At 53.2% G+C, this 25,124-nt stretch overlaps 1 protein-coding gene across 1 annotated transcript, besides 2 other annotated features; it reads right to left on the reverse strand.

The window, feature by feature from the left end:
- Positions 18,430-19,033: an enhancer, noted in NCBI's record as "H3K27ac-H3K4me1 hESC enhancer chr7:2510727-2511330 (GRCh37/hg19 assembly coordinates)". NCBI's record gives its function as "activates a minimal SCP1, AML or CMV promoter by ChIP-STARR-seq in primed H9 embryonic stem cells {active_cell/tissue: H9 hESC(primed)}" and the evidence as "EXISTENCE:reporter gene assay evidence [ECO:0000049][PMID:30033119]".
- Positions 21,260-21,805: an enhancer, noted in NCBI's record as "H3K4me1 hESC enhancer chr7:2513557-2514102 (GRCh37/hg19 assembly coordinates)". NCBI's record gives its function as "activates a minimal SCP1, AML or CMV promoter by ChIP-STARR-seq in naive H9 embryonic stem cells {active_cell/tissue: H9 hESC(naive)}" and the evidence as "EXISTENCE:reporter gene assay evidence [ECO:0000049][PMID:30033119]".
- GRIFIN (galectin-related inter-fiber protein) lies at positions 22,066-23,736 on the reverse strand. The gene is made up of 5 exons (NM_001394787.1): positions 23,710-23,736; positions 23,258-23,337; positions 23,007-23,166; positions 22,479-22,645; positions 22,066-22,223 (listed from the first exon to the last, which is right to left on the reverse strand). The coding sequence occupies exons 1-5, from the start codon at positions 23,719-23,721 to the stop codon at positions 22,208-22,210; spliced, it is 435 nt and encodes a 144-aa protein (NP_001381716.1). The 5' UTR covers positions 23,722-23,736; the 3' UTR covers positions 22,066-22,207.

Below are 25,124 nucleotides of genomic sequence, written 5' to 3' on the forward strand. Positions count from 1 at the left end.
CTTCCTCCCTCCCTTCCCTCCCTCCCTTCCCCCCTTCTTCCTTCCTTCCTTTCTCTCCCCCTCCCCACTCCCTCCCTCCCCTCCCCCATCCCCTCCCTCTCCCCTCCCCTCCTCGTCCCTTTGTCAGGGTCTTGCTCTGTTGCCCAGGCTGGAGTGTAGTGATGCAGTGAGCTGTGATCGCACCACTGCAGCCTAGAACCTCCCGGGCTCAAGGGATCCTCCTGCTGCAGCCTCCTGAGTAGCTAGGACTATAGGCATGCGCTACCAGGCCTGACTTTTTTTTTTTTTTTTTTTTTGTAGAAATGGGGTTTTACTGTGTTGTCCAGGCTGGTCTTAGGGTTGAATTCCTCCTGCCTCAGCCTCCCAAAGTGCTGGGATTACAGGCATGAGCCGCCACACCTGGCCGGGATTGTGCTGAATATGTAGATCAATTCGAGGAGCACTGCCCATCCATCCTTGAACATGGGCCCCGTCTCCATTTACTTAAGCCTCTTTTAATTTGTCTCAACAATATTTTGTCTTTTTCAGCATATAAGCCTTGCACTTTTTTTGTTACATTTATTCCTAAGTATTTTGTTATTCTTTATGCTATTGTGAATGAAATTGTTCTCTTATTTCTATTTTCAGAATGTTTGTTGCCAGTATATATAAAATAAAACACTATTTATTTATTTATTTATTTATCTATTTATTTATTTAGAGACGGAGTTTCATTCTTGTTGTCCAGGCTGGAGTGCAGTAGCACAATCTTGCCTCACTGCCACCTCCGCCTCCTGGGTTCAAGCGATTCTCCTATCTCAGCCTCCCGAGTAGCTGGGATTACAGGTGCCCACCACCACGCCCGGCTAATTTTTGTATGTTTAGTAGAGATGAGTTTCACCATGTTGGTCAGGCTGGTCTCAAACTCCTGACCTCAGGTGACTGGCCTGTCTCGGCCTCCCAAAGTGCTGGGATTACAGGTGTGAGCCACCAGGCCCAGCCTACAATTTGTTTTTATACATTCATCTTATATCCTGCCACCTTACTAAGCTTTATTAGTTCTAATAGCTTTGGGGTTGATTTCTTAGGATATACAGGACCATCATCTGTGCATAAAGATAGTTTTACTTTTTCCTTTCCAATCTGGATGCTTTTAATGTCTTTGTTTTGTCTTATTTCATTTTTGTTTTTCCTTATCACACTGAGTAGAGCCTGCAGTATAATGCTGAATAACAGTAGCGCATCAGATGTCCCACTCGCTTTGTCCCCCTGTTAGAGGGAAAATATTCTGGGATTTACTGTTATATACTTTAGCTGGGCCAGGCACAGTGGCTCACGCCTGCAATCCCAACACTTTGGGAGGTCAAGGCAGGAGGATTGCTTGAGCCTAGGAGTTTGAGACCAGCCTGGGCAACACAGCAAGATCCCATAAAAAATGCAAACAAAATTTAAGTTAGCTGAGTGTGGTGGTGTGCACCTGTAGTCCCAGCTACTTGAAAAGCTGAGACAGGAGGGTCCCTTGAGCCCAGGAGGTCAAGGCTGCAATGAACTATGATTGTGCCACTGTGCTTCAGCCTGGGCAACAGAGTAAGACTCTGTCTTCAGAAATGTATATATATTAAATACAAAAATTTTAATATATTGTATATATTTTATATAATATAAAATATTTTCATATATAATACTTTATATATAATATACATATTAGCTGTACATTTTTCATAGATGCCTTTATCAGCCTGAGGAAATTCCCTTCTATTTCTAGTTTATTGTGCGTATCTATCTTAAATGGGTTAGATTTTCTCAAGTGCTTTTCCTGTAGCTATTGAGATGGTCATGTGGTTTTTGTCTTTTATTTCATCAATGTGATGTATTACAGAAATTGCTTGTTGAGGGCTGGGCGCAGTGGCTCACGCCTGTAATCCCAGCACTTTGGGAGGCCGAGGTGGGTGCATCACAAGGTCAGGAGATCGAAAGACCATCCTGGCTAACACGGTGAAACCCTGTCTCTACTAAAAATAAAAAAGAAAAATTAGCCAGGCTTGGTGGCAGGCATCTGTAATCCCAGCTACTCGGGAGGCTGAGGCAGGAGAATTACTTGAACCCGGCAGGCAGAGCTTGCAGTGAGTTGAGATTGCGCCACTGCACTCCAGCCTGGGAAACAGGCAACCCCATCTCTCAAAAAAAAAAAAAAAAAAAGAAAGAAAGAAATTGATTGTTGAATATTAAACCAACTTTGCATTCCTGGAGTAAATCCCAGTTGGTCCTCGTGTGTGATCTTTTTTTTTTTTTTGAGACGGAGTCTCGCTCTCTCACCCAGGCTGGAGTGCAGTGGCGCGATCTCGGCTCACTGCAAGCTCCGCCTCCCGGGTTCACACCATTCTTCTGCCTCAGCCTCCCCAGTAGCTGGGATTACAGGCGCCAGCCACCACACCCGGCTAATTTTTGTATTTTTAGTAGAGACTGGGTTTCATCGTGTTAGCCAGGATGGTCTCGATCTCCTGACCTCGTGATCCGCCCACCTTGGCCTCCCAAAGTGCTGGGATTACAGGCGTGAGCCACCGCGCCCGGCCGTGTGATCATCTGTATATGCTGCTGATTCGGTTTGTAATCTTTTGTTAAAGATTTTTGTGTCTATGTTCATGAGGCTAGTCCTCTGTACTTTTCTTGTTGCATCATTTTCTGACCTTGGTGGAAGGATAGTACCGGCTTCACAGAGTGAGGTAGGAAACGCTTCCTCCTCTTTTATTCTACGAAAGATTTGGCATTATTTCTCTTTCAGTACTTGGTAGAATTTACCAGTGAATCTATCTGGGTTGAACTTTCATTTGTGAGAAGATTTTTTTTTTTTTTGATATGGAGTTTTGCTCTGTCGCCCAGGCTAGAGTGCAGTGGCGCAATCTTGGCTCACTGTACCTCCACCTCCTGAGTTCAAGCGATTCTCCTGCCTCAGCCTCCCGAGTAGCTGGGACCACAGGCGCCCGCCACCACGCCCGGCTAATTTTTTGTAGTTTTAGTAGAGACGAGGTTTCACCGTCCTAGCCAGGATGGTCTCCATCTCCTGACCTTGTGATCCGCCCGCCTCGGCCTCCCAAAATGCTGAGATTACAGGCATGAGCCACCGCGCCCGGCCGAGAAGATTTTAAATGACTAGTTCAATGTCTTTCGTTGTTACAGATCTTTTCCAATTTTTGGTTTCTTCTTAAGTCACTTTTTAAAGTTTGTGCCTTTATAGGAATTCATCCATTTCATCTAAGTATTTTACTTTGTTGGTATAAAGCATTCATAATATTCTCTAAGAAGCCTTTTAGTTTCTGCAGGGTCCGTGACATACGCTCTTTAATTCCTGAATTTGATCATTTGTATGTTCTCTCTCTCTCTTTTTTTTATTACTTTTTTTTTGAGATGGAGTCTAGTTTTAGATCTCTTTGTATTTATCCTACTTTGAGTTGACTGAGCTTCTTCAATTTGTAGATGAATGTTGTTTTAATCAAATTTGGGAAATGTCTGGCCATTTTTGTCTTCAAATACTTTTTCTGCCCCTTTTTCTCTCCTGGGACTGCCATTACATGCATGTTGGCACAGTTCATATTGTCTCACAAGTCTCTGAGGCCCTTTTCATTTTTCTTCAAATTTTTTTTCTCCGTTCTTCAGATTGGATAATTTTTTTTTTTTTTTGAGATGGAGTTTTGCTTTTGTCGCCCAGGCTAGAGTGCAATGGCACGATCTCAGCTTACTGCGACCTCTGCCTCCGATTCTCCTGCCTCAGTCTCCCAAGTGGCTGGGATTACAGGCGTGAGCCACCATGCCCAGCTAATTTTTGTAGTTTTAGTACAAATGGGGTTTCACCATGTTGGCCAGGCTGCTCTTGAACTCCTGACCTAGTGATCTGCCCGTCTCGGCCTCCCAAAGTGCTGGGATTACAGGAGTGAGCCACTGCACCTGGCCCAGATTGGATAATTTCTATTCATTGATCTGTGGTCAAGTTCATTGTTTCTTTTTTCTGTCATGCGACATCTGCCCCTCTAGTGATTTTTTTTTTTTCATTTCAATTATACTTGTCAACTCCAGAATATCCATGTGTTTCTTTTTTATAATTTTTTTTTCACTTTTTAAATATAATCCATGGGGTCACATTTTTTATATTTCGTTTCTTTATTGAGTATCTCTATTTGCTGATTCATTGTTGATATGCTTTCCTTTCATTCTTTACACATAGTTTTCTTTAGTTCTTAGAACATCTTTATATTTCCTGCTTTGGAGTTTTGGTCTGAAAAAGTCAACATCAGAGGACACTCAGGGACAGTTGTTTTTGGAATAGGGATCATAAATTTGTGTTTCTTTGTATATCTTGTAATGACTTTGTGGAAAACCAGACATTTTAAATGACACACTGTAGCAGCTTTAAAGTATTATTTTTCTCCCTTGAGGGCTGATGTTGCTGCTATTTTTCTGTTTGTTTCTTTTGTAATTTGCCTCAACTTAGTTTGTGAACTCTGTCCCCTCCATGATGTGCAGCCACTGATGGCTCTGATTGTGTCCTTTTTTTTTTTTTTTTTTTTTTTTTGAGATGGAGTCTCGCTCTGTCGCTCAGGCTGGAGTGCAGTGGTGCAATCTTGGCTCACTGCAATCTCTGCCTCCCGGGTTCAAGCGATTATCGTGCCTCAGCCTCCCAAGTAGCTGGGATTGCAGCTGTGCACCACCATGCCTGGCTAATTTTTGTATTTTTAGCAGAAACGGGGTTTCACCATGTTGGCCAGGCTGGCCTAGAACTCCTGACCTCAGGTGATCTGCCCGCCTTGGCCTCCCAAAGTGCTGGGATTACAGGAGTGAGCCACCGTGCCCGGCCTCTGATTATGTTTTTATTATTTATTTATTTTAAGACAAGTTCTTGCTCTGTCACCCGGCCCGGAGTGCAATGGGATGATCATAGCTCACCGCAGCCTCAACTTCTGGGTTCAAGTGATCCTCCCATCCCAGCCTCCCAAGTAGCTGGGACCACAGGCACGCACCACCATGCCCAGCTGGCCATGGGATATACTTATATTGAAAAAGTGAATTATTATTTATCTGAAATTCAAATTTAATTGTACATCCTGTTTGTGTTTTTCTAAATATGGCAACCCTACCTGGGGGGATCTTCTTGTAGTAATTAATATGGTGAACTGAGGGTGCTCCCACATACCTGTTTCCTTCCCATCCTCATTCCCATTTGATGACCTCGCTTTGAGATGGAGTCTCGCTCTGTCCCCTAGGCTGAAGTGCAGTGGCGCGATCTCAGCTCACTGCAAGCTCCGCCTCGTGAGTTCACACCGTTATCCTGCCTCAGCCTCCCGAGTAGCTGGGACTACAGGCGCCCGCCACCATGCCCGGCTAATTTTTTGCATTTTTGGTAGAGACGGGGTTTTACCGTGTTAGCCAGGATGGTCTCGATCTCCTGACCTCGTGATCCGCCCACCTCGGCCTCCCAAAGTGCTGGGATTACAGGCGTGAGCCACTGCGCCCGGCAGATGACCTCACTTTTTATTTCACCAAGGAAATTACAGCAACCACAAGAGACCTGCTGGGAGCCCTCACCACATCCTCCCTCCACCCACCCTGAGTCTGCACTCTGCCCCCTCCACTGCCACGAGGAAAGGACTGCTCCCACCTGCCACAGACCCCCATTGTGCACATGTCACATGAGCCTGTGGACAAGCCCTGCCACGCAGGCCCCTTCCTGTTGTGTTTGTATTGCTGACAGCACACCATTCCTGACTGGTTCCTGTATGTACCAACTTTACAGATAAGAAAACCGAGGCTCAGTTTAAGGCACAGATTAAGATTATACAATCAGCCGGGCATGGTGGCTCATGCCTGTAATCTCGGCACTTTGGGAGGCCAAGGTGGGCGGATCACTTGAGCTCAGAAATTCAAGACCAGCCTGCCCAACATGGTGAAACCCCATCTCTACTAAAAATACAAAAATTAACCAGGCGTCGTGGTGGGCACCTGTAGTTTCAGCTGCTCTGGAGGCTGAGGCAGGAGAATGACTTGAACCTGGGAAGTGGAGGTTGGAGTGAGCCAAGATTGTGCCACTGCACTCCAGCCTGGACGACAGAGCGAGAATCCATCTCAAAAAAAAAAAAAAAAAAAAGATTATACACTCAATAAGATCTGATAGCTACAGTATAGTGTAAAAAATAACACAGCGGTAATCCCAGCACTTTGGGAGGCTGAGGCAGGTGGATCACTTGAGCTCAGGAGTTTGAGACCAGCCTGGCTAACATGGCAAAACCCTGTCTCTACTAAACATACAAAAATTAGCCAGGCGGGGTAGCATGGGCCTGTAGTCCCAGCTACTCAGCAGGCCAAGGTTAGGAGAATCACTTGAACCTGGGAGGTGTAGTTTGCAGTGAGCCGAGATCACGCCACTGCACTGCAGCCTGGGTGACACAGCGAGACTGCATCTCAAAAACAAAACAAAACAAAATAACAAAACCTAAAAAAAAAAAAGGGCCGAGCACCGTGACTCATGCCTGTAATCCCAGCACTTTAGGAGGCCAAGGCAGTCAAATCACTTGAGCTCAGGAGGTCAAGACCAGCCTGGCCAACATGACAAAACCCCATCTCTACTAAAAATACAAAAATTAGCCGGGCGTGGTAGTGGGCGTCTGTAATCCCAGCTACTCAGGAGGCTGAGGCAGGAGAATTGCTGGAACCCAGGCGATGGAGGTTGCAGTGAGCTGAGGTTGCACCACTGCACTGCAGCCTGGGATACAGATCCAGACTGTCTCAAACAAAACAAAACAAAACAAGACAAAACAACAACCAGAAGGAAGTAGAGGCAGGTTTGACCCCAGGGCTGTTCCTCTGAAGGGTTCCCCATTCGTCCATCTCTTCTCTGAGCCCAGGACCTGGCGCTGTTTGGCCTGGAAACCTCCAAGGAGGAGCCACTGCCACCTCCCTGGGGCCTGGTGGGGGTCATAGGTTGGCCGGTACAAGCAATAGACCTGCTTTTATCCTTCGTTCAACACCCGAGTCTCAGCAGACATCACACAACCCATCCTTGGCTGATTCAGGCAGTGAGAAGGGTCCCTCCAGAAGACCCCCAGGTACCCTTCAGTCTCTGCAATGGGAGGGTGGACCCTGAGATCTTCTGCACCCCAAGACCACACAGCACAGGAGAGGAGCACGTCTCCAAAGAGAAGCTGGGCTATGTCTGGAAATGGGCAAGCAAAACAGGACCTGTGGCCCTTCCCACTGGATGGGGAGGAGCTGAGGAAGGCATTTCGGAGGAGGTGACGTCTTACGGGGAAATTTGTGTGTTGGAATCAAAGTGAGGGAAGGGCTTTGGGGTGGAGTGGCCAGCAGGAGCAAAGGCTTGGAGGCCAGAGAGAATCTGAGCGGCACACAGGCTGGGGAGGGGTTGGCCGTGCCTCGGACACCGGCCTCTGCAGCTTGAGCCTATTACTGACCCAAGTCCCAGTATCACCAGGTCCCAGTGATTCCTCACAGCAGCCGGCGTCCCTCCCCTTGTCTCATTCCTGCTGGCCCCGACTTCCTAGCTCCGTGCTTCTCCAGGCCTCAGTTTCCCCTCTTCCAAGGCCAGGGCCCGCTCCCCTTCCTGGGGCTGCCAGGAGCCTAGAGCGTGGGAAACGGCTCTGCTGTGTGTCCGGGGCCAAAGACACGCAGGGGCGGTCGTGCCAGCCAGGCTCTCGGGCTCTTGGGCGCTCGCCACACTCTGGCGGCCAAACAATGCCCACCTCTGAGTAGAGCTGTGGGTGGCGGTAACCATGGTGAGGGGCCCTCCACGCCAACTGCCCATCCGGGGTCAGCCGGGCCCGTGGCCCTGGTTCCGGCTTTGTCTCGGGGCTGGAACTGGGCCCAGGGATGGGCTCTGAATGGCTGGCGGGTGGGAGGGCACTGCCCACCACATAGCGGCGGCTGCTGGCCGGAGAGAGGGTCTGGGGTTGAGGAGAGGGCAGCCCAGCTGTTTCTGGGGTCCTGAATTCGCAGTGGTGTCTGGGTGGGAGCCCCAGCTGGTCGCTGTGCCCATTGGCAGCACCTTCCTTAACACCCCAGCCCTCTGTGCCCACTGTAAGGACAGGGCCTGGTGTGCCCCTGGAAGGAGGTGAACCCCATCTCCAAGTTCTGGGATGTTCCAGGCAGTTGGCCAGAGCACAGCGGGTCCGCTCCAGCCTCTCAGCCTGGACGAGGCTCCATCTGGCCACTGGCTTGCCCACCCCCAGTTCCCCCAATCCCTCCGTGACTGGCGGGAAATGGGCATGAGTGTGAGGCCTCTGCCAGGGCACAGAGTGACTAACCCTCCCCAGCTGTGGGGTTAGAGTCCCCCAAAAATTGTGGTTGCAAAACCCATGTTTGCAAACTCAAGACCTTGTTTAATAAAAAAGAGTAAGGAGGCCAGGCACTGTGGCCAGGGGGAGGAGAGCTGGCAGGGGCAGCGAGATGGGGGCTGCACCGTACTCTGGGCACTGGGTTCCCTCGGGCAATGTCCCTGGTGGGCCAAGGCTGCCCTTTTTGTCCCTCTACCTGTGCTTGGCAGTCCAGGGGCTACGGAATTTGAGAGGGGAGGCCTTTGGGTCTCACCCAAGCCGGGTGATGGCAAGGGAAAGGGACTCTCATTTCCCAGCCCCAGAGAGACCACGGTCCTCCTTCAGTGAAGTACCCACAAGACAAGAAGGCCCCAACTCCCCCTCCCCTAGGCCACTCCTGTCCCAATCTGGCCCCTGCCCCAGGTGTGGTGTGGAGGCCACGACCCCACCCCAACCGCTGGTTCCCTCGGTCCCTCCCTGTCCTAAGACACCATGGTCCCCCAGTGCCCCAGCCCCTGTCCCCTGGGACCCCAGCCCACCCTGCTCCTCTTCTCACTTCTGGGGTCTTCTCATGTCTGGGGCTCAGGTGCCTCGCCTGTGCCTTGCTGGGCAAGCGGAGGCACTGCCTGGTGCTGAAAAGACAGCTCCGGCCAGCCAGTGCCCCCAGAGAGCAGACCCAGACAGATGCAGAAATGACGCAGTGGATGAGGGGCACAGAGACCTGTCAGGGAGCGGGAGCTGGGCCAACGTCTGGGTACATGGGATGCCCTTGGCTACTGCTGAGGCCGTGCCCCAGCCCCAGGTCTACGCATTAAACTTCATCCTCCGCACAGCCCCAGTCTCCCACAGGCCCCAGCTTATAGAGACTGTTGTTGCTCCATTTTGCAGAAGAGGAAACTGAGGCAGAGCAAGGGAAGTTTCCCACCGTCCCCATGTGGAAGGAGTGTGGCCCCCACTGGGGCACTCATCTGCAGGCACAGTCCAGAACATGTGTGCCTGGACACTGGACCAAGCACGGGGCCTCTGCCTCTCCATGATTTTATTTATTTATTTATTTGTTTGTTTGTTTGTTTGTTTGTTTTTGAGACGGAGTCTCTCTCTGTCGCCCAGGCTGGAGTGCAGTGGCGAGATCTCGGCTCACTGTAAGCTCCGCCTCCTGGGTTCACGCCATTCTCCTGCCTCAGCCTCCTGAGTACCTGGGACTACAGGCACTCGCCACCACGCCTGGCTAATTTTTTATATTTTTAGTAGAGACGAGGTTTCACTGTGTTAGCCAGGATGGTCTTGATCTCCTGACCTCATGATCCACCCGCCTCGGCCTCCCAAAGTGCCGGGATTACAGGCGTGAGCCACTACGCCTAGCCGATGATTTTATTTTATTTTGAGATGGAGTCTCACTGTCAACCAGGCTGGACTGCAATGGTGCAATCTCGGCTCACTGCAACCTCCGACTCCTGGGTTCAAGTGATTCTTCTGCCTCAGCCTCCCAAGTAGCTGGGATTACAGGCATGTGACACCACACCCGGCTAATTTTGTATTGTTAGTAGAGACAGGGTTTCACTATGTTGGTCAGGCTGGTCTCGAACTCCTGACCTCAGGTGATCTGCCTGCCTCAGCCTCCCAAAGTGCTGGGATTATAGGTGTGAGCCACCGCGCCCGGCCCTCCATGATGATTTTATTTTCTAAATATTTTGTCTGGAGATACATAGCACGCAGATTACAGGCATGAGCCCCAGTACCCAGCCAGTGGGCTGGATTCTGAAATGCAGAATTCAAGGACATCAGTGGAAAATCTGTAGAAAATGGAATAAATTCTGTAGCTTCGTTAATAGTGTTACAGCAATGCTTTTTCTTAGTTTTGATGCAGATGCCCTGGGGATGTGACATGTTTACTCTGCATCTGCACTGCCTTTGCAATAAATAAAATGTGGTCTATCATGCAATGGAATACTATTCAGTCATAAAAAAGGAAGGAAATTCTGACAACTGCTACAACATGGATGAACCTTGAGGACGTTATACTCTGTGAAATAAGCCGGTCCAAAAGGGGCAAACTCTGTATGTGTCCACTTATATAAGAACAGTCAAATCTATGGAGACAGAAAGGAGAATGGTGGTTACAGGGGCAGGGGAGGGAATGGGGAGTGAATGTTTATGGGGGATGGGTTTCAGTTTGGGAAGGTGAAAAGTTTTGTGGATAAAGGGTAGTGATAGTCACACAACACTCTGAATGTGCTTAATGCCACTGAACTAACCGTACACTTTAGAAATGGTTACAATGGAGCTGGACAAGGTGGCTCATGCTTGTAATCCCAACACTTTGGGGGGCTAAGGCAGAAGGATCAATGGAGTTTGGGAGTTCAACACGAGCCTGGGCAACATAGTGAGACCCCCTCATCTCTAAAAAAAACAAAATGTTTACTGGGTGTGGTGGCGCATGCCTGTGGTCCCAGCTACTTGGGAGGCTGAGGCGGGTGGATCACGAGGTCAGGAGATTGAGACCATCCTGGCTAACACGGTGAAACCCTGTCTCTATCAAAAATACAAGAAATTAGCCGGGCGTGGCGGCCGGCACCTGTAGTCCCAGCTACTCGGGAGGCTGAGGCAGGAGAACGGCGTGAACCCGGGAGGCAGAGCTTGCAGTGAGCCAAGATCATGCCACTGCAATCCAGCCTGGGCGACAGAGCGAGACTCTGTCTCAAAAAAAAAAAAAAAAAAAAAATGTTTACTGGGTGTGGTGGCGCATGCCTGTTGTCCCAGCTACTTGGGAGGCTGAGGTGGGAGGATTGCTTGAGCCCAGGAGGTCAAGGCTGCAGTGAGTTATGATTGAGCCACTGCACTCCAGCCTGGGGGACACAGGGAGATCCTGTCTCAAAAAAATTTAAAAAGGCCAGGCACAGTGGCTCACACCTGTAATCCCAGCACTTTGGGAGACTGAGGCAGGTGGATCATGAGGTCAGGAGATCGAGACCACCCTGGCTAACACGGTGAAACCTTGTCTCTACTAAAAATACAAAAAATTGAGACCGGGTGTGGTGGCAGGCGCCTGTAGTCCCAGCTACTTGGGAGGCTGAGGCAGGAGAATGGTGCGAACCCGGGAGGCGGAGGTTGCAGTGAGCTGAGATCACGCCACTGCTCTCCAGCCTGGACGAAAGAGCGAGACTCCATGTCAAAAAAAAAAAAAAAAAAAAAGAAAAAATTAAAAAAAGAATAAAAGAATCCATGATCCTACATGACACTTAGGTATCATTCCAATCTGTATTGATTTATTTTAGGGTAAAATCTACACAGTAGAAGATTTGCCATTTTAACCTTTTTTTTTTTTTTTTTTTTTTTTTTAGATGGTGGGGGGGTCTCACTGTTTCTCAGGCTGGTCTTTAACTCCTGGCCACAAGCGGTCTTCTCGTCTCAGCCTCATAAGTAGCTGGAACTATAGGCACCCGCCATCATGCCTGGCTAATTTTTGTATTTATAGTAGAGACGGGGTTTCACCATGTTGGCCAGGCTGGTCTCAAACTCCTGACCTCAAGTGCCGCCTGCCTCGGGCTCCCAAAGAGCTAGGATTACAGGCGTGAGCCAGCACATCCAGCCTTTTGTCCACTGTTTTTTGTTTTTATTGTTTTTGTTTGTTTGTTTGTTTGAGACAGAATCTAGCTTTGCTGCCCAGGCTAGAGTGCAGTGGCACGATCTCAGCTCACTGCAACCTCCATCTCCCAGATTCAAGCAATTCTTCTGCCTCAGCCCCATGGAGTAGCTGGGACTACAGACACTTGCCACCACACCAGGCTCATTTTTGTATGTTTAGTAAAGACAAGATTTTACCATGTTGGCCAGGTTGGTCTCAAACTCCTGGCCTCAAGTGATCCTCTTGCCTCGGCCTCCCAAGTGCTGAGATTATAGGCATGGATTGTTGTTTTTGTTGTTGCTGTTGAGTTATAGGTGTTCTTTATATATTCTGTATATTAGTCCCATGTCAGATATATGATTTGCAAATATTTTCTCCCATTCTGTGGCTTGCCTTTTCACTTGGTTGATGGTTTCCTTTGATGCACAAAAGTTTTTAATTTTGATGAGGTCTAATTTATCTCGGCCAAGCACCCGTGGCTCACGCCTATAATCCCAGCACTTTGGGAGGCCAAGGCAGGAGGATCACTTGATCTCATGAGTTTAAGACCAGCCTGGCCAACATGGCGAAACCACGTCTCTACTAAAAATACAAAAATTAGCCGGGCATGGTGTGTGCCTGAAATCCCAGCTACACAGGAGTCTGAGGCAGGAGAATTGCTTGAACCTGGGAGGCAGATGTCGCAGTGAGCTGAGATTGCACCACTGCACTCCAGCCTGGGTGACAGAGCAAGACTCTGTTTGAAATAATATTAGAGGCCTGGTGCAGTGGCTCACACCTGTAATCCCAGCACTTTGGGAAGCCAAGGCAGGTGGATCTTTTGAGGTCAGGAGTTTGAGACCAGCCTGGCCAACATGGTAAAACCCTGTCTCTACTAAAAATACAAAAAAAGTAGCTGGGCATGGTGGTGGGCGCCTGTAATCCCAGCTACTTGGGAGGCTGAGGCAGGAGAATCACTTGAACCTGGGTAGGCAGAGGTTGCAGTGAGCCGAGATCGGACCACTGCACTGCAGCCTGGGCGACAGAGAGAGACTCCATTTCAACTAATATAATAGAAATAAAATAAAAAATAAAAGCACATCACAATAAATGAGATGTGCTTGAATCATCCCAAAACCATCTACCCTCTGGTCAGTGGAAAAACTGTCTTTCACGAAACCAGTCCTGGGTGCTAAAAAGGCTGGGGACCGCTGGTGTAAAGTGAGGGTCCAGTGTCTTTTCTTGTGCATGGAGACGCAGCCTTCCCAGCCCCATGGGTTTATCTGTGCTGATTTTTCACTTCTTGTTCTGACCAGGAGACGCCTGGCTCCCATGATGCACAACTTACTTATTTGTTCAATCCCAGTGTTCGTTGTTTCAGAATTGCTAAGATGTACCCCTGGGAGAACCAAACCTACTAACTAGAGTCCAGTGTTTGTACACAGTTGGTTTTGTCCTGAGCTTCAGGATGTAGACAAAACAGTGTTGTCCAAAATCATTGAGAGCAGCCTCTCCCCCACTCCCTCTCCCTGAGTGATGTCACACATTTGTAATTCAATTAGAGTCCGTTGTCACAGGCCGCGTTCCTCCTGGGTTCCCCTGACATCCTGGCTCATTTAAAAAAATTTGCATACAGCGAAGTTCATTCTTTGTGCTGTGGACTTGCATGGGTTTTGAAAAATGCAAGGAGTCACGCGTCCACCGCTGCACCCGACAGAACAGCTCCAGCTCCGAGACCATTTCCCGGGCAGCGAGAACCCCTGCCCACCACTGCCTATGATATTTAAGAAAAAAAGACAAACAGATTTTTTGAGATGCAATTCACATACCATGCAATTCATTCATTAAAGGTAAAATTCCATCATTTTGGGCATGCTGTATTGCCATTTTTTTTTCCTTTTTGTGGAGAATGGGGTCTCACCATGTTGCCCCGGCTGGTCTTGAACTCCTGGGCTCAAGCGATCCTCCCGCATCTGCCTCCCTAAGTGCTGGGAGTTCAGGCATGAACCACCATGGCTGGCCTAAACTTTCTTGTATGTGTGTGGTAAAATACACATAACAAGCCGAATACAGTGGCTCATGCCTATAATCCCAGCACTTTGGAAGGCTGAGGCAGGAGGATCACTTGAGCCCAGGAATTCAAGGCTGCAGTGAGCTGTGGTTGAGCCACTGCACTCCAGTGTGGGCAACAGAACAAGACTCTGTCTCTACAAAAAAAAAAAAAAATACGTGTAACGAACAATTTGCCACTGTAACCATTTTTAAGCGTACAATTCAGTGGCATTGATTACGTTCACGATATTGTGCAACCATCGCCCCATTACCAAAACTTTTTCATCATCCCAAACGGAAACTCGGATGATTTCTTTTTCTTTTTTTGTGATTTCTTAAATGAGCCTGCAATGTAACAAAGTTTCACAGTATTGTAGGTACACATGGAAAAATGCAATGAATATTGGCTCATGCCTGTAATCCCAGCAATTTGGGAGGCCGAGGCGGGCAGATCACCTGAGATCAGGAGTTCGAGACCAGCCTGGCCAACATGGTGAAAACCTGTCTCTACTAACAATACAAAAAAAAAAAAAAATTAGCTGGGCTTGGTGGCGTGCACCTGTAATCCCAGCTACTTGGGAGGCTAAGGCAGGAGAATTGCTTGAACCCAGGAGGCGGAGGTGCAGTGAGCTGAGATTGCACCACTGCACTCTAGCCTGGGTGACAAGAGCAAAACTGTCATAAATTAAAAAAAAAAAAAAAAAAAAAGCATGAAACCCAAGATAGGTAGGTAATGTGTGGGGCAACTGCAGTAAAACCTTCACGTTGAATCCAGGGGGTGGGTATGTGGGTGCTGGCTGAAAAATATTTCAACTTTTCTTTTCTTTTGAGACAGGGTCTTGCTCTGTCACCCAGGCTGGAGTGCAGCAGGGCAGTTAACAGCTCACTGCTGCCTCCGTCCTCCCGCCTCAGCCTCCCAGGTAGCTGGAACTACAGGCACATGCCACCATGCCCAGCTAATTTTTTTATTTTTATTTTTATAGAGACGAGGTCTCACCATGTTGCCCAGGTTGGTCTTGAACTCCTGGGCTCAAGCAATCCTCCCACCTCAGCCTCCCAAAGTGCTGGGATTACAGGTGTGGGCCACTGTACCTGGCCTATTTCAACTTTTCTATGTGTTTGAAAATTTTCATAATAAAATGTTGGGGAAAATGTTTGTGGATTTTAAAAGTGCACCCTGGCCTACCATAGCACCCCCAGCTCTCGGTCCCCTATTCAGGGGCAGCCTCTGAAGCCAGGTTTTCCAAATCCTTCCAGAGGCAGTCAGTCAGCAGTCAAGCATCTGCACGTCTCTTCTCTGTCCCACCAGTGAGGCAGGCCTTGGCAGCAGACGGGTCTTGGCCTTGTTCTGCCCTTGCCTTTTTATTGTTGTTTGTTGTTGTTTTTTGAGATGGAGTCTCACTCTGTCACCCAGGCTGGAGTGCAATGGCACAATCTTGGCTCACTGCAACCTCCGCCTCCCGGGTTCAAGCGAATCTCCTGCCTCAGCCTCCTGAGTAGCTGAGATTACAGACGTGTGCCACCATGCCTGGCTAATTTTTTTGTATTTTTAGTAGAGACATGGTTTCACCATGTTGGCCAGGCTGGTCTCGAACTCCTGACCTCAAGCGATCCTCATGCCTCGGCCTTCCAAGGTGCTGGGACTACAGGCACATCCACCGCACCTGGCCCCATCCTCTGCTCTCAGAAGGGAGGAACCACCCTGGGGCTTCATGGTCACCCCCTACACATATGGCCCTGATGGGTCCCCAGCCCTGCCTGGGTGGTGCTGAGCCCATGTCGGCCTCCCAGGAGCCCAGGCTGGCTGAGCTGCAGGAAAATCCGTGTCATCCCTGCACTGACATTGGCCACAGAGAGAGGCAGGACAGCTGTCACTGAACCTGCAGGAAGCAGGTGAGTGAGGCACAGGAGTCCCGGCCGCGATGGGGGTGTGGGGGGCACTGGCAGCTGCAGCAGGCCAGGCTGAGACTTCCTGGGGCTGGTGGACCACTCACTTCCTTGGTGGGGATGGAGGCAGGTGGACCCACGTGGACCATATCCTACTGCACTTGCCCGGCCCTGTACGTGCCCCTCCTCACAGCCACCCATCTTACAGAAGGGGAAACTGAGACTGTGATTCACTCAGGTCCACGCAAGGTTTCTTCTCCCACCATTCAGCTCGGAGCCGAGCTCTGGGCTCTGCAGCAAACGGGACAGGCTGGGCCAGCTCCCCTCCCTGGTTCTCCTCCTCTCAGCCCCTGGACTCAGGCCCAGGCTGTCCTCTTGTGGAAACCAAAACTGTGGATTCAGGAATGCGGGTCCGCCTGCCCCGAGCTGGAAATGCGGGTCCACCTGCCCCGAGCTGGGAATGCGGGTCCACCTGCCCCGAGCTGGGAATGCGGGTCCACCTGCTTGCCCTGAGCTGGGAGTGCGGGTCCACCTGCCCCATGCTGGTAAAGGAGCTTTGCTCCCTGGCTTTGGGTTGAGGCCATGTCGGGAGTGCCCTCTGCTGGCCGGTCTGTTCCTCACGGGGCCCTGAGAGGGCTCCCGTGGGGAGGGATCAGCAGGGCATCCCCCCACCCTGGGGAGACCACCAACCTCTGTCCTGGTGGAGAGGGAGGAACAGAGCAGAGGCCAGAACAGGGGAGAAGTTGGTTTTAAAGCAGAGGTTTCGGCCGGGCGCGGTGGCTCACGCCTGTAATCCCAGCACTTTGGGAGGCTGAGGAGGGTGGATCACTTGAGCCCAGGAGCTCGAGACCAGCCTGGGCAACATGGTGAAATCCCGTCTCTACTAAAAACAAAAATTAGCTGGGCGTGGTGGCTCATGCCTGTAATCCCAGCACTTTGGGAGGCCAAGGTGGGTGGATCACCTGAGGTCAGGAGTTTGAGACCAGCCTGGCCAACATAGTAAGACCCCGTCTCTAATAAAAATACAAAAATTAGCCGGGCATGGTGGTGTGCGCCTGTAATCCTGGCTACTCAGGAGGCTGAGGCAGGAGAATTACTTGAACCTGGGAGGCGGAAGTTGCAGTGAGCTGAGATTGCGCCACTGCACTCCAGCCTGGGTGACAGAGCAAGACTGTGTCTCAAGAAAGAAAGAAAGAAAAGAAAGAAAGAAGGAAAGAAAGAAGGAAAGAAAGAAAGAAAGAAAGAAAGAGGGCAGGGAGAGAGGGAGGAAGGGAAAGAAGAAAGAAAGAAGGAAAGAAAGAAAGAGAGAGAGAGAGAAAAGAAAGAGAAGGAAGGAAGGAAAGAACGAAGGAAAAAAGGGAAGAGGGGAGGGGAGAGAAGGAGAGAAGAAAGCAAGCAGAAGTTTCAGGCCAGGCACTCCTGGGGGCAGCTTTGCCTGCAGCCGATACCTTCTTTAAGTCTCACCATAGTGGCAGGTGTTTCAAAACAGAGATAGCAGACAGCACTTGAACCTCAGATGTTTTAAATTCAGAAGATCTGCCTGCTCTGGGTCCACAGGTCCCTGTGCATGGTTGGAAGGAGCTGGGCAGGATGGGGGTGGGGGCAGTGTGTGTTTCTGTTAGGCACAGACCCCACCAACCCCTATTGCCCTGTGTCCGCCTGCCTCACTTAGGCACGTTTGCCCTCCTGGCCCTGTGAGCATTTGAGTCGCTCCTTGACCCCGCAGAGAGCCTGGAGCTTTTGGCCGGCACGTGTCGTTAGGAGGCCTGTGGACCTGACCCTCCAGGGGCTGCAGCCTCCTTACCCGGGCAGCTGTGTTTCCCTGGACAGGCCCAGCCCAGGGCATCTGCCTGAATCTCACCCCAACTCCAGACAGAGAACTGAAGGGGAGACAGGTTCTCCCAGAGACGCGGCTTAGCGCGCCGGGGGCAGGGGCTGCCCTGCTCGACCTTCCGCAGCCGCTTTAGCTGGAGACAACACCCTCCTGATGCCTTTTGGTCTCTGGAGGCGTCAAGGAGTGTGTGGGCACTTTCTAAGGGGCCTCTGCCATGACACAGGGGAGGAGCAGATTTAAGTCAGCTCTGGAATTTGCTTCTGGTCAGCAGAGCGATGGGCTGCTCTGGGGAGGTAGTGAGCTGGCTGTCCTAAAAAGAGTTCAAGTGGAATGTGCTCTGGGCCAGCCTGGGGGCTGGGGTAGGACCTGGTCCCTGGCATCCAGATGAGGCAGTGTGATGGGAGGGAAGGGCCTCAATGAAAGCCAGGGCTGCAAGAGCCCAGCAGGAGGTGAGGGAAGGCTTCCCAGAGGAGGTGTCTTCTGAGCTGAAGGGGCAGGTGGGGGAATGGGCCACTGGGGCTGCAGCTCTGGGCTGAGGCCAGATCAGAAAGGAAGCTGCGCTTTGTGCTGAGGGCGGTGGGAGCCATGGAAGGTGTGATAGGAAGGGCAGCAGCTCCTCCAGCAGGATGCGTGGAGACCATAGCTCCCTGCACCCCATTTTATGGATGGGGAGACTGAGGATCAACATTGCTTCAGGGTCTGGGGCCCCTGTGGTCTGGTTTGCAAACTGGAGTGAAGGGCCAGCTCCAACTCTCACTTGCTGAGCAACCCTGAGTGAGTCACTCAGTCTCCCCGAGCCTGTTTGTACGTCTGTAAAATGAGCCTCACACTCCACACCTTGCCAAGTTCTTGGGAGAAGGTGCAGGCCTGGTCCCCGGGTCGTCCCCAGCCTCAGCCACCCCACAATAAGAAAAGAGCCTGTCATCTCACACTTTTGCACACTCTCACCTTGCATGGCTGTTGGGGAGGCAGAGCTTTGCGGGGAGGGAGGCTTTTGTTTGCAGGGAAACTGAGGCCCAGAGAGGGTGAGCAGGCAGCTTGGGTCTCAAGGCAAGGCCCTGGCAGGCCAAGCCGGACATCTTCCCTGCCGGGCTCAGAGACCCCAGGACCAGGAGCGGGCAGGCCTGAGCACAGATCCAGGTCCCGCTGTGTGGGTCCCCACTTCCCCACGCCCCAGTCCCGCCCAGGGCCAGGGCTTGTCAGTGCATGTCTCCCAGCTGTCCTCAGCCCCTCCCGGTGGACACAAAGGCCAGGCCTCTCGAAGAGGCGAAGAGGCAGCAGGAAGGGGCTCCTGCCAGCTGGGCTGTGGATGCAGGCGGGGAAGTGAGTGGAGACAGGAAGGAAGCCGCACAGCTGGAGACTGGGCCGCCATTGTGTCACCTGGAGCGGGGGCGCCGTGGTCTGCCCTCAGATGCCTCCCCAGCGCTGGAGGGCAGCGGGGGTTGCTGGGCCCTCCTCTCTCCGGGCCCCACCCTTCTGCTGACTTCCTGCCCCCACCCCAGCCTCAGTTTCCCCATTTATAAAACCTTAGGAGGCAAGACCTGTGGGAATTATACAGTAGCATTATAACAAGTGCCAGGCCGGGTGCGGTGGCTCATGCCTGTAATCCCAGCACTTTGGGAGGCCAAGGTGGGCAGATCACCTGAGATTAGGAGTTCGAGGCCAGCCTGGCCAACAGGGTGAAACCCCGTCTCTACAAAAAATTTAAAAATTAGCCGGGTGTGGTGGCGCACACCTATAATCCCAGCTACTCAGGTGGCTGAGGCACGAGAATTGCTTGAACCCGGGAGGTGGAGGTTGCAGTGAGCCAAGATTGTGCTACTTCACTCCAGCCTGGGCAACAGAGCAGGACTCTGTCTCAAAAAAATAAATAAATAAATAAAGAAATTAGTGAGGGGTGGTGGCTCACACCTGTAATCCCAGCACTTTGGGAGGCTGAGGCAGGCGGATCACCTGAGGTCAAGAGTTCGAGACCAGCCTGGCCAACATGGAGAAACCCCATATCTCCTAAAAATACCAAATTAGCCGGGAGTGGTGATGGGTGCCTGTAATCTCAGCTACTCGGGAGGCTGAGGGAGGAGAATCGCTTGAACCTGGGAGGCAGAGGCTGCTGTGAGCCAAGATTGCACCACTGCACTCCAGCCTGGGCAACAGAGTGAGACTCTGTCTAAAAAAAAAAAAAAAAAAAAAAAAGACTGGGCGTGGTGGTTCATGCCTGTAATCCCAGCACTTTGGGAGGCCGAGGCGGGCGGATCAAAAGGTCAGGAGATCGAGACCATCCTGACTAACATGGTGAAACCCCGTCTCTACTAAAAATATAAAAAATTAGCTGGGCGTGGTGGCGGGCGCCTGTAGTCCCAGCTACTCGGGAGGCTGAGGCAGGAGAATGGCGTGAACCCGGGAGGCAGAGGTTGCAGTGAGCCGAGATCACACCACTGCACTCCAGCCTGGGTGACAGAGCCAGACTCCGTTTCCAAAAAAAAAAAAAAAATCAAGTGCCAGCCATTGTCTAGGCATGCTGTCATCTGAAGTAACTCATTGAGGCAGAAAGATATGCTGAAGGCACTCATTTTCCTGTTTCACAGAGGTCCCCAGAGCTCAGGGCCTTGCCGCGCACAGAGAGTGGCAGAGCTAAGGCTCAAACCCAGGCAGCCATTCCCAAGTCCAGCTTCCCGTCTCTGCTCTCCTGTCTGTGCCACTGCAGACCTAATACTTTTATTCATCAATTCATTCATTCATTCATTCGAGACAGGGGCCTCTCTCTGTTCAGGCTGGAGAGCAGTGGCATGATAATTGCTCCACCTCCTGGGCTCAAGCAGTCCTGCTGCCTCAGCCTCCTGAGCAGGTAGGACCACAGGTGTGAGCCACCATATCTGGTTAATTAAAAAAAAATTTTTTTTTTGGTTTGGAGTTTCGCTCTTGTTGCCCAGGCTGGAGTGCAATGGCATGATCTCGGCTCACCACAACCTCCACCTCCCGGGTTTAAGCGATTCTCCTGCCTCAGCCTCCCGAGTAGCTGGGATTACAGGTGTGTGCCACCATGCCTGGCTAATTTTGTATTTTTAGTAGAGACGGGGTTTCTCCATGTTGGTCAGGCTGGTCTCAAACTCCCGACCTCAGGTGATCCACCCGCCTCGGCCTCCCAAAGTGGTGGGATTATAGGCATGAGCCACTACACCTGGCCAATTTTTGTATTTTTTGTAGAGATGGGGACTTGCTGTGTTCCCCAAGCGGGTCTCCAACTCCTGGGGTCTCAAGGGATCCCCTTGCCATGGCCTCCCAAGGTTCTGGGATTACAGGCATGCACTTGGCGTAATACTTTCCTTTAATAACTCACTTGTTAAGGCTAAATACCTGTTGAGTTTCATCCTAAGCTGTGACGTCACTAGTTTCATGTGGATAAATAATAGATTGGTAGGTGGGCACATAGATGAATAGATAGATAGATGATTGATGTTGATGACAATGATGACGGATATAGATGGTATATACATGATAGATGATAGATATTGATGATAGGTAGAGATAGAGATGAAGAGATGCCCGGTGTTGGTAATTGTAGTAGAATTAACATGCAATTACGAAATCTCATTGTGTGTGCCCCTGAAGTCACCTTCCCACCCCGGGGCTCTTCGGCTCTTCGAAGGCTGAGCCCTTCGCATACAGGAGGCAGGAGCCACAACTCCCATTGTATAGGTGTGGAACCTGAGGCTGGTTGGGGGGACTTGTGGATGGTCACGCAGCCAGGAGGGGCAGGCCTGGGGGACTCTCCCCACAGTGCTCATGTCCCCTTATGAGGCCTCCGGGGCCTTCCTGCTCCCACCACACACCAGCCTGGCTCTCACCACCACACACACATGAGGCTGCTGGGACAGGCTCACGTCTCCCTCCAGGTGGGACAGGAGAAACAGGAAAGGCCCCTGCAGGAAGTAGGGGGAGAGGGAAGCCTTGGGGCCTCTGAGGAGATGGCTTGGACCAGGCAGGACATGAGTGCCCCAGGGCTGACCCTTCCCACCAGGGCTGAGCCGTGGCAAGAGCCTGAGCCCAGTGGTCCTGGGTGGGGACTGGCCCAGGCCATGCCTGCCCCTGCCTTTCAGTCCCCTGGGCCCCGCTGGGACCTTCTGGCCCATGGCAGGTGCCCTCCCCACACAGGATGCCATCCGACACCCCTCCCCGGTCCAGGTCCATCCCGGCCGTATGCGAGACCGTATACGGCGAGGCCGTATGCAGGCCGCCGTATGCGAGAGCTTCAGCATCCTGGGGACAAAGTGAGGGGGTTGGGTCGTCTCTGGAGTGTCGGTCTCAGGGTCCCCCAGCCCCCCAGCTTCCAGGGCTGCGTAGCACCGGCCCCACCTGAGCCTCCCCCTGCCACCCCCTAGCAGCCAAACGCCTGCAGCCTTCTCAGAGTTTATTGAAGGTGGAGCTGCGAGGAGCACACAGGACCACAGACCCCCTCACCCAGCTGCCCCAGGGTGGGACTCCAGGTACCCTGGACATGGGACAAGCCGAGGCTGGCTCCTGGGGTGCAGGTGTCACTCAGTAGCCCCGGTCCCTGCAAACATCCAAGGCACGTCCCTAGCTCCTGCCCTGCCCATGCACAGACCAGGGTGGGAGGTGGACCATGGCCCTGCTCCCGTGGCCGGATATGCAGGGCTGGCAGGGAGAGGAGCAGGGTGGGACGCCAGGCAGACAACCCCTCCCCAGGCGGAGGAGGGTCCCCGGATCAGGGTGAGAAGCAAAATCCCTGCTGGGGTGGGCAGTGTGGGGCAGGAATGGGCAGGGACCTGGGTAGAGGCAGGGACTTTACCCCCAGCTCAGGCCCCTCTTGGCCAGCTCCACCTGGGCCAGGCAGTGGTCACTCAGCACGCGCACCCTGGTGGTGGCGCCCAGCGGCCTCTGACGGCATGGGAACTGTAGCACCTTGTGCTCCGGGGCGTAGACGTGGAAGTGCTCCGCGTCCCAGCTGACCTCTATCTGGGCAGGCTGGGGCCAGTGACCTCAGTGCCAGCCCCCAGGGCCTGGGGTCTGGTCCCGCTTTTAACGGTGATGTGCCTGCCGGCCGTCTCCAGGAAGGACAGCCTGGCAGGCCCCGGGGGTCCCTTGGCTTGGAGCCCCCAGCCCAAAGTCCCCTCCTTTCTCCCAAGATGGGGTGGCTGGTAGCCAGGGTGGTGGGTACCTACTGCACACGTAGGGAAACTGAGGCCAGGGAGGCCACCCAGACCTTGCCCTGGCCCACTGACCTGTAAGCGTCCACCGTGAACCCGCTGCCCACTGGCCCCCTGTTCCCCCACGGGCCTTCCCTGCCTAGCCCAGGCCCCACCCAGGCCCCTGTCACCTCAAAGGGCTCCCCCGGGGCCAGCGGGAAGATGCTAGACACCTGCTCCGGGCCCCAGCGGCCGTACTGGAAGGCATTGCCCACCACAGTGGCGCTGGAGAACCGGGGCTTGATGTGGAAGGCAATGTCCCCCGTCTCCAACAAGAAGTTAGTCTCGAACCTGGGGCGGACATGGTGCGGGTCAAGAGCTGCAAAGAGCTGGGCCGGCCACCCAGCCCAAGGCCCAGCGAGGGGAGGGCGGTGCCGCTGACCTGTCCTCTCCAGAGTCAGCATGTCCCTGGACCAGCAGCTTCCAGCCGGGGGCCAGGCCGCCCGCACAGAAGGCTTTAGACTGAGTGGAAGAGACAGGGGGACCAGCCTCATGGGGCTGCAGCCTCCTCCCTCCCACCCCCACCCCCACCCTATCCCATCTGTCCAGGAAGGTCCCTGCCCACCCAGCCTGCCCCCAACCCAGTGCCAGACATAGGCTAAGGCTCTGTTCATCTGGTGTCTTTGTGACAGGGTGACCAGGGCTGGGGTGGGAGGGACACACCTGCCCAGCAGGCCAGCTCTGGGGGGACCTTCACCCTGACGCCCTCTCAGCCCTGAGATCTGATGAGAGGCCAGAGCCCATACCCCATCTCTGTGCAGAGAGAGCACGGGTGGCTCAGGGAGCCCCCAGCCCTGCACCGTTCTCCTTCTCCAGGTCCAGGGTCTCACCCACCTGCACTGCCATCTGCTCCCAGCCACTGTGGGAGGGCGCGGGGAGCCTGGGGTATAGATGGGGGGCTAGGGGTGGGAAGTGCCGGGGGGCTGGGGGTGGGGAGCGCCGGGGGAGGGCTGGGGGTGGGGAGCGCCGGGGTGGGGCTGGGGGTGGGGAGCGCCCGGAGTGGGGGGGCTGGGGGTGGGGAACGCCGGGCCCCACCCCCGGGTGACTTGGCAAGGTCTCTGGGCCCTTCCCAGCCCATATCTCCCTACCCCTCGGGCCTCTCCCTTCCAGCTGGTTCTCTGTGCAGGCGCAAGGGAGATGGGTCACCTGCCCCTGCTCCCCCAAGCCCTCTCCTGCCTGACTCTCACCCACTTCACTCCTTCAGGATCCAGGAAAGCAGCCACTCCTTTCTCACTGGGACGGCAAGGTCTAGGCAGGGACCCTGGCCCGGCTCTTCCTCCGGGATCACGGGCCCCTCCAGGGACTCGAACCCTCCCATCCGGCCAAGGGCAGGCTTAGGAGGGGAGGCTTGGCTGCCGACCCCTGCCCTGGCTTCCCAGGTCCCGTCTGACCACGTGGTGCTGCAGGGCCTGTCCCCCAGCCCACCCTGGCCCCCGCCGCCTGCCCCCACTGGCTCAGCCACCCCATGGGGCATACAGCAAGGATTAGGCCGGCGCTGGTCAGCGCATTCCAGGCTCTGGCAGGCGAGGGGAGGGCTTTTCCCACACCCAGGATGCTCCCCACCTCAGGCTGAGCATGGGGGGGACCAGCTGGGCCCTCAAGGAGGAAGGGAGGTGAGCAGAGAGAGTCTCAGGCTGTCGGGCAGCTTTGGGGCCTCCGAGGACGGGAACCGGCCCGAAGTGGACCTGGAGGGGGCACAGAGCCCTAGGGCTGCTGCAGGTGGGTGTGTGTGCAGCCATGTGCAGCCATGTGCAGTGCGTGTGCAGTGATCTCGTGGGTGGGTATCCTGGCTGCAGGCCGGACGATTGTGTGAGCCCATGAGTGTGCGAGGCATGGGGTGTGAGTTCCAGAGACTCTGGGTGACAGGGAGGTTTGCTGTGTCCCTGCCTGTGTGTCTGAAGAGGCCTGGCCCCCAGGATGCCCCCGCCAGGATTCTCCATTCTCACGTCTCCTGCCGCCCTGTCCCCGTGTTCGAGTGGGCCCTCCAGTCCCCCATCCGCAGGGGTCCCTTCCAGCCATTCTCTCCAAGCCCTGGCAGGGCTGACCTGGGTCCCGCCTGACCTCTCCATGGGTGCTGCCGCTGGGGCCTGTGCCCGGACGTCCTGGTAGGAGGGTGGGACTGCTGAGGCCGGGAGGGGCCTCAAGGTGGTCGTGACTGTCCGCCAGCCCCCTGGGTGGTGCAGAGCAGTGCGGAGCCTGCGGCTGTGGAGCCCGTCTCTCCTGCCTGGCTCGTAGCAGGGCTGGCCGTG

The sequence above is a fragment of the Homo sapiens genome, chromosome 7, assembly GCF_000001405.40.
Source record: "Homo sapiens chromosome 7, GRCh38.p14 Primary Assembly".
NCBI classification, from domain to species: domain Eukaryota; kingdom Metazoa; phylum Chordata; class Mammalia; order Primates; family Hominidae; genus Homo; species Homo sapiens.